The sequence below is a fragment of the Homo sapiens genome, chromosome 6, assembly GCF_000001405.40.
Source record: "Homo sapiens chromosome 6, GRCh38.p14 Primary Assembly".
Lineage (NCBI taxonomy): Eukaryota > Metazoa > Chordata > Mammalia > Primates > Hominidae > Homo > Homo sapiens.
This window is the reverse complement of record NC_000006.12, coordinates 109,878,421-109,887,930: the sequence shown is the minus strand read 5'-3', so window position 1 is coordinate 109,887,930 and position 9,510 is coordinate 109,878,421. Positions and strand designations below refer to the sequence as shown.

At 43.3% G+C, this 9,510-nt stretch overlaps 1 annotated feature.

Moving 5' to 3' along the window:
* Positions 4,889-6,088: an enhancer, noted in NCBI's record as "MED14-independent group 3 enhancer chr6:110203046-110204245 (GRCh37/hg19 assembly coordinates)". NCBI's record gives its function as "activates an origin of replication core promoter dependent on BRD2, BRD4, P300/CBP and CDK7 cofactors, and independent of MED14, by STARR-seq in HCT116 cells {active_cell/tissue: HCT116}" and the evidence as "EXISTENCE:reporter gene assay evidence [ECO:0000049][PMID:35650434]".

Below are 9,510 nucleotides of genomic sequence, written 5' to 3'. Positions count from 1 at the left end.
GAACTTGTACACACAACCAGACAAACTACTCAATCTGTGACCCAGAAAATGGCCAGCCTTATATATTTTATGACCCTAAGTCCTCACCTTCTGAAGCCTGGTTTAAAGTTTATGTTGGGTCAAAAGAAGGAAGACTTCTGAACCAAACCAAAGTCCCTCCCTCCCAGGGGGAGGTCATTTCCTTATATTTTGATGCTTGCCAAGCAACATACATAGGTCCCTATCTCGTAGTCTCCTGTGGTAGCCTATCATGGGAGAGATGCTATAGTAACTGTCACAAATATATATGTGCTCCAAGGAAAGGAACCAATCAATAGGGAACCCCTCTTTGCTCCCCCTACTCCCCAGAAAAAGACTGTCAGGACTGCACAACATGGTCCACAGACCCTGTGGAAAGTGCAAGAACACCACAGGGGGCAGTAACTCTTACCAAAATGCCGGTAAAATCACATTGTAAGACGAAAACTTGCAATCCTTTAAATTTCGCTATCTTAAAGCAAGATCTTCCCATAGGGACTACAGGTTACCCCATGACATTACAGATCAGCGGTCAAGGAACAGATCCAGGAGTCTATTTATATATTATCCAAAAAAAACCCGGATTAAGCATTCAACCCAACAATTTCAAGTTTTTGAGTCATTCTATGAGCATATCCACCAGGAGTTGCCTAAACCCTTTCTCTTAGCCAGAAACCTGTTCACCCAACTGGCTGAAAACATAGCCAGCAGCTTACACATCTCCTCATGCTACATTTGTGAGGGAACCACCATGGGGGACCAATAGCCATGGGAGGCAAGAGAGCTGATGCCCCAAGATAACTTCACTCTGACTGTCTCTTCCCCTGAACCTACGTTCATGAGCCCGAGCATTTGGTTCTTAAAAACCTCTGTTATTGGGAAGTTCTGCATTGCTCACTGGGGAAAAGCATTTGCAGATCCAGTAGGAGAGTTAACTTGCCTAGGACAATAACATTACAATGAAATGCTAGGAAAGACTTTATGGTGGGGCAGAAAGAATGATTTCAAATTGCCCCACCCAGGTTCATTCTCCCGTTTCCCCTCTTTAAACCACTCTTGGTATCAACTTGAAGCTCCAAATACCTGGCAGGCGCCCTCTGGCCTCTATTGGATCTGTGGACTGCAGGCATATTGGCAGCTGCCAGCTAAATGCTCAGGGGCCTCCTGTCCAACCCATTGGTCTCTCCTGTCCTTTGATTCCCACAACACAGACACTTCTTTTTTCAGCCAGTAAGTCATCTAGAGCAATTCTATTATTTATCATAATGTTCACAAAAGAATTTAAAGTCTGCCTTGACAGTAGAATCTGCTATAGAACCTATCACTACGGATAAATTTCTAAACATTGCTTCACTTACTCCAAATCATAAAAAAAAAAAGACCTAACAAATGATGCCCTTTAGAAGAGTGAAGACCTCCTGGCAATGTTCTCTTCAACCCATGATGTAGGTAAGATGAGTGCATCAGTGTTTTGTTTCTGACTGATCATGAGTACGTACCATCGAAATTTCTCACTCACACTGGGCCTTCATCTTCCATATATCAAAGTATAAGATTAACCATGTAGAAGGCTGGCTGCAAAATCTTTCACAAGTAAAAGTAAACCCCATGAATTCACAAAACAGACCCGCTTTTCACTTCTATTGTTCATAGAGGCATAAGCAAGGGAAAAAAAATTAAAGAATCTCATAATAGTAGAGAAATCTTGATCTGTGATCTTGGGAAAAAGCTGTCCACATCAAAGATGCCATCTTCTGGGAAAAAACTTCCCTGTTTAGCTTTACCTTAAGGTTTCCAATAGGTGTACAGTTCCAAGAATGTAGAGGGACCTTTCCGAGTTGTGAGATTATGAACTTAAAACTGTGGGTCAAGGTCCTGAAGTTTTGCTGCAGTGTGTATGGCAAGAACAGCCTTTCTCTGATGTTCTCAAAAGATCCAATCTTCAGGTTCTAGATTGTGAAGAGGTTGATTTTCCCCAGTCAGTAGACCATGAAGAGGTTGATTTTCTTCACTGAGTAGACCATGTATTTTTTTTTACCTGGTGAAAATATATATACTTTTGTAAAGTGAGCTATTACTGTTACAACAGCTCTCTTGCATGGGAAAGTTTTTATACAACCAGAAAACATGCACTGAAAATGACAATTGGCCAGGCGTGGTGGCCAATTACACCTGTAATCCCAACACTTTGGGAGGCCAAGACAGGTGGATCACCTGAGCTCACGAGTTTGAGACCAGTCTGGGCAACATGACAAAACATCATCTCTACCAAAAATATAAAAAATTAGCCAGACACGGTGGTACATGCCTGTGGTCTCAGCTACTCAGGAGGCTGAGGTGGGAGGATATGGCAGAACCCTGCTGCCACCAAGAACTCTCTTATCTCTCTTATCTTATCTCTTATCTGGTGCCAGGTAGCTGGAATTGGGAGTGCACAAACAGCCTGTTTTCATTCAATGCCTAGCTGGCTTTCCCCTTGGGTCACTACGAAGCCCAAATATTTGACCTTCTGTTGGCAAATTTGAGCTTTTCTCTTGGACACCTTATATCTGACCTTCTATAGGAGGTTGGGGAGACCTTGGGTTCCTCAGTAGCAGTCCTTGCGTATTGGGGCTGTCAAAAGGAGGTCATCCACATATTGTAGCAAGGTGCAGTTGTCGTCCGGTGGGGTGTAGGCCTTGAGGTCAGCAGCCAATGCCTCTGCAAAGATTGTGGGAGAGTTTTTTATCCTTGTGGGAGTCTAGTCCAGGTGAGCTGTTCCTTTGTGCCTGTGACTGGATCCTCCCATTGAAATGCTCTCAGGTTCCCTGGTCAACTTAGCCAAAGATTTTTTCCTACTTGAATGTGCAAGAAAAATAAAACAAAATAGGTAAACACAAAAATCCCTGCGAATTTCCAAAAGCCAAATTTTACAGCTACAGCCCCTGCAGTATTGCCACTCAGTCCTCCATAAGAGTCATCTAACTGGATTCAAGCCAGTTAATTATCAGATCCAATTCAATCGTGGACCCAGTCCAGTTTCTGTTGGGACTTCCAAACCCAGTTTGGATCAGAAATTTGCTCAAAGAAACTCAGAGAGCTCAAAATACAAATCCATAGAGCTTTGGAATTCAAGAGGGAATTTACCACAATCTCCAGCTGCTCTGAGAGAGCAATGTACATAATGGGCCCGGTGGGTACCTCACTTGGTCACTCAGCGCTCAGGGGGGTTGTTAGAAGCTCTACTTCAGATCTCACTTCTCACACCATTTGTTAAAAGAATAACCTTAGCCAAATTAATTTTAAGAGTTTAATTGAGCAAAGAATAATCCACAAATTGAGCAGCATGTTAAGCCAGAGTAGGCTCAGAGACTCCAGTGAAGCTATGTGGTGGAATATTTATGGACAGGAAATGGAAAGTGATGTACAGAAAACAGAAGTGAGCTACAGAAACACCTGGATTGGTGATACCTGGGTGTTTGCCTTATTTGAACATGGTTTGAACACTTGGCCACCTTTGATTGCCCAAAACTCAGTAATTGGTACAAGAGTTGGCTACGGTCTGTATCAAACTCCATTTAGGCTATAGTTCATGATGAACAAAGAAACCTTTAGGCTGAACTTAAAATATGTAAGGAGGCAGCTGTAGGCTTAACTTGATTTAACATCAAATTTATCAACTTGATACATTAATTATTGACTTCTTATTATAAGGATTTGACAGTTTTATTTTATGTCTTACTGCCACTTTCCCACCTTCCAACTCAGTGATAACAATCATTTTCAGTCAATGTTCAGTGTTTCTGCTATTTTGATCACATAATTGTTATTCACTGCCAAGCCAAATAATATAATTCTATTTTCTTTCTTGTACAACATTTTTGTGTTTTCCTATAGATACTGACATTTTATTTAAGCTTAACTTTATATTACTAGCACAAATTCTTCACAAATTCTCCAACAAAATTATAGAACTCCTCTGACTGCTATTTTTCATAGAGTTAAATCATCAGTTAGTCAGTTTATTTTTTGTTTCTGTTCCTATCATATTTTTAATGTCCATGAGTTTTTATATTGTTCTCCCAACATTCCTCTTTAATAGAAAACTCTTCTTGGTTTGAGGATGCTTTCTCTCTCCCAGGCTGTTGACCAGTCAGGCACCATACAATGATGTTTCAGTCAATCACAGACCACATATACGATGGTGGTCCCACAAAATTATAATGAAGCTGAAAAGTTCCTATTGCCTAGTGATGTCCTAGCCGTCATAACATCATAGCACAATGTATTACCCACGTGCCTGCGGGAATAACTATGTAAACAAATCTACTGCATCACTAGTCATATAAAAGCACAGCACATATAATTACATACAGTACATAATACCTGTAATGATAATAAATGACAATGCTACTGGCTTACGTATTTACTATACTACATATATTTTTACATTGAGTCTTGACTTGAAACTCATATACTATACTTTTAATCATTATTTTAGAGTGTATTCCTACATATAAATACATACATATAGTTAACTGAAAAGCAGCCTCAGGCAGGACCTTCAGGAAGTATTCCAGAAGAAGGCGTCATTATCACATAGAAAATGACAGCTGCACATGTGTTAGTGCCCCTGAAGACCTCCAGTGGGACAAGATGTGGAGGTGGAAGACAGTGATATTGATGATCCTGACCTTGATGATTAGGCCTTGGCTAATGTGTGTGTTTGGGTTTTCATTTATTTTATTTATTTATTTTGAGATGGAGTTTTGCTCTTATTGCCCAGGCTGGAGTGCAATGGCCCGATCTCAGCTCACTGCAACCTCCGCCTCCCAGGTTCAAGTGATTCCCCTGTCTCAGCCTCCCAAGTAGCTGGGATTACAGGCATGCACCACCACACCTGGCTAATTTTGTATTTTTAGTAGAGATGGGGTTTCTCCATGTTGGTCAGGCTGGTCTCAAACTCCTAATGTTAGGTGATCCGCCTGACTCGGCCTCCCAAAGTGCTGGGATTACAGGCATAAGCCACCATTCCCAGCCTGCATTTTCATTTTTAACAAACAAGTTTACAAAGTAAAGAATATTTTAAAAATTAAAAACAGAAAAAAAGCTTATAGAATAAGGATATAAAGAAGGAAACTATTTTGTATAGCTGGTAAATAGTTTAAAATAAGTTTCCTTGACTTTGAAAAACAAAACAAGGATCAGCAATATTCCAAGCAAAAAACAAAAAGGTTGCTTCAGCTTTCTGAGTTCAGTCCATTTAGTTAACTCTTGTTTTGCTTGATATTTGTGAACATTTCCGCTCTTCATGAGTCTTGTACATTTTCCTTTATTCCAATGTTACAATCTCTAAAGTTATCAGAAGCCTGTATTTGAGACCTCCTGTTAAAGTTCTATAGCTCATTATAAACTGTAGAGAGTAGAAAAGTTCTTCTTCAAAGCTCATCTTGGTTTAAAAATAAAATAATAGACACTAGGAATAATAGTTCCTTACTCTAAAGCCTCCTATCAACTATTAGTTCTTACACTTTAGCCCAGTTAGTTGCTTTGGCTTACTCAGGCATGTCTGGACAGGCCCAGGCAAGTCTTAGCTCATAGCTTATGCCCCTGGCTTATTTGGTAATGTTATTGCTTCCTTAAACCTTCTGTAAGCAACTCCCTCTCCTCCTTTGTTCTTCCCTGCACTTACCTATTTAGGAAAGTTTTAGGTTATTAGCAAATAGGGTATCAGTTTAAGAGTGTGAGGTCCAACTCCAGCCAATGCATGCAGGACACAGCAGTAAGGATGACCCAAATGCATAAATGATAAATATGTCTGCTTTTCCTTTGTTCAGGTGTGCTCTCACCATTGTTCCATCTGCGACTGAGCATCCTTTCTGCAGAAAGTAAAGATTGCCTTGCTGAGAGATCTTTTGTCTCCATGCTGACTTTTCTTCATGGCACCAATTATCTATTTCTAACAATTTTGGTATTTTAACATAAACCATCTATGAAAAGGATTAGAACAAGACAACAATTGTCTGTGAATATCAAAATGTCCAGGATAGTTACAATTAGAAACACAATTGACAAATGTGGCACATATACACCATGAATACTATGCAGCCATAAAAAATGATGAGTTCATGTCCTTTGTAGGGACATGGATGAAGCTGGAAACCATCATTCTCAGCAAACTATCACAAGGACAAAAAACCAAATGAGAGGTGACAGCGTGCTGGCAGTCCTCACAGCCCTCACTCGCTCTCGGTGCCTCCTCTGCCTGGGCTCCCACTTTGGTGGCACTTGAGGAGCCCTTCAGCCTGCCGCTGCACTGTGGGAGCCCCTTTCTGGGCTGGCCTGTGGGAGCCCCTTTCTGGGCTGGCCAAGGCCGGAGCCCACTCCCTCAGCTTGCAGGGAGGTGTGAAGGGAGAGGCGCGAGCGGGAACCGGGGCTACGTGCGGCCCTTGCAGGCCAGCTGGAGTTCTGGGTGGGCGTGGGCTTGGCGGGCCGCACTTGGAGCAGCCGGTCAACCCTGCTGGCCCTGGGCAATGAGGGACTTAGCACCCGGGCCAGCAGCTGTGGAGGGTGTACTGGGTCCCCAAGCAGTGCCAGCCCACCAGCGCTGTGCTCAATTTCTCACCGGGCCTTAGCTGCCTTCCCGCGGGGCAAGGCTCGGGACGTGCAGCCCGCCATGCCTGAGCCTCCCACCCCCTCCATGGGCTCCTGTGCAGCTGAGCCTCCCTGACGAGTGCCACCCCCTGCTCCACGGCCCAGTCCCATCGACCACCCAAGGGCTGAGGAGTGCAAGCGCATGGCGCGGGACTGTCAGACAGCTCCACCTGCAGCCCCGGTGCAGGATCCACTGGGTGAAGCCAGCTGGGCTCCTGAGTCTGGTGGGTATGTGGAGAACCTTTATGTCTAGCTCAGGGATTGTAAATACACCAATCAGCACTCTGTATCTAGCTCAAGGTTTGTAAACACACCAATCAGCACCCTGTGTCTAGCTCAGCGTTTGTGAATGCACCAATCGACACTCCATATCTAGCTGCTCTGGTGGGGCCTGGAAGAACCTTTGTGTCCATACTCTGTATCTAACTGATGTGATGGGGATGTGGAGCACCTTTATGTCTAGCTCAGGGATTGTAAATGCACCAATCAGTGCCCTGTCAAAACAGACCACTGGGCTCTACCAATCAGCAGGACGTGGGTGGGGACAGATAAGAGAATAAAAGCAGGCTGCCAGAGCCAGCAGTGGCAACCCACTCGGGTCTCCTTCCACTGTGTGGAAGCTTTGTTCTTTCGCTCTTTGCAGTAAATCTTGCTAGTGGTCACTCTTTGGGTCCACACTGCTTTTATGAGCTGTAACACTCACCGTGAAAGTCTGCAGCTTCACTCCTGAAGCCAGCGAGACCATGAACCCACCAGAAGGAAGAAACTCCAAACACATTTGAACGTCAGAAGGAACAAACTCCAGGCGCGCCACCTTAAGAGCTGTAACACTCACCGCAAGTGTCCGCGGCTTCATTCTTGAAGTCAGTGAGACCAAGAACCCACCAATTCTGGACACACAGACACAGCATGTTCTCACTCATTGGTGGGAATTGAACAATGAGAACACATGGACACAGGAAGGGGAACATCACACACCAGGGCCTGTTGTGGGGTGGGGTGGGGTGGGGTGGGGGGAGGGGGAAGGGATAGCATTAGGAGATATACCTAATGTTAAATGACTAGTTAATGGGTGCAGCACACCGACATGGCACACGTATACATATGTAACAAACCTCCACGTTGCGCACATGTACCCTAAAACTTAAAGTATAAAAAAAAAAACACAATTGACAAAGAAGTTTGGTTATCTCTGTGGTTTACAATAACTTAACAACCTTAATTATGATTGGTAGCATATACTTAGACATTAGAATTTTAGAAAGTTCATACAATTTTGGAACATACATTAGCATTGTTACTGGCAGGTCTTTGCTCCCAGAGCTCCCAAGATGGTGGTGGGCCACTCCCAAGATGGCAGCAAGCCTCTTGCTCTCTGACCTGGGGTCCTTGGCCTCACGGATTCCAAGAAATGGAACCTCGGGCCATGCAGTGTGTGTTATAGCTCTATTAGAAGCCATGGGTCACGGAAGAGAACCGTGGAACCCAGCAACTAGTGTTCAGCTCAATTAGGACAAACCCGGACACTTAGCCACGGAGGAACAATGGTGAGCCTCTAGCCTGATTGGGAGCGGCAATGGGTGCCTCGCTGACTCAGAAGTGCAGCAGACACCCTGCCAGATCCAGAGGGGTGGAAGTCAGTGGCAGGTCTGCGACGGTGGTGATCAGCAGTGGTGGACGGCGAGCGAAAGCTCAGCTCAAGCCGGAGCAAACACGGACCAGGAGAGTGTGCAGTTGCAAGATTTAGTAGAGTGAAAACAGAGCTCCCACACCAAGGGAGGGGACCCAAAGGGGGTTGCTCGATCCTGCTCGAATGCCTGGGTTTATATCCCAATCATTGTCCCTCCCCCTGTGCTCTCAGGCGATAGATGATTGACTATTTCTTTACCTGCTGCTTTTAGCCTAATTGGTATTTTAGTAAGCTGTCTTTACTACCTGATTGGTCGGGTGTGAGCTGAGTTACAAGCCCTGTGTTTAAAGGTGGGTATGGCCACCTTCCCCAGCTAGGCTTAGGAATTCTTAGTCAGCCTAGGAAATCCAGCTAGTCCTGTCTGTCAGCATTATTCACAAAAATATAATCTAAAGAATATTGAGCGTCATTTTGGCAATCCTATGTACCTAAACATGTCAAATAATCTTGTTTACCACTCTTTTTTGGACACTTAAGGGGCCCTCTGAAACATCTGAAAAGTCAGGTGCCAGGGAAGACAATTTTGAAACTGAAGTTTGATTTTGGGAAGGCTGTTAAATGTTTGAGGTTTAAAACACTTGATATTATGAAATAGAATCCCAAATTACCATAAGTTATTTATTTTGCCAATATCGTGACTCAGAAATTTTAAAGAAGCAAAAACCTTTCATATGCCTTTATAAATTTTGCCAAAAAGCAGATTAGTGCCTTAGGAAAACCTTTTTATGCTTTTATTTCAATGCTCAATTTACAGAAAAATCATATAATACGCTTTTTTGAATTTAGTCAATATGTTCACACAGAGAACCTCTTTTGCAAGATTTAAGTTCCACAATTCTTCCACCACTTCTTTGAACCTTCAGCTTTTTCCCTCAAAACAATCCTTTAACCCTAGGAAAAGTTCACATTTCCATGCCTTCTTACAACCTTTTACTAAAAAACACAGTTTACTGTTTCCACACACCTTGCATGTAAATCTATTTCTAGTAGTTTCAATTAACTCCTAGCAAATTTTCACTTTAAGGTAAAACTTGTTAGGTTGCTTTAATTGTGTGCGAACTGCAGCCAAGGTTTGCCTTCTTAATTAAGGGTGTGGTTAGTTCCATATGTCCCCAGGCCCTACCAGTTGTGAAGCTGGCAAGTCAAATAGTTCTCAAAACCCCAAAAGC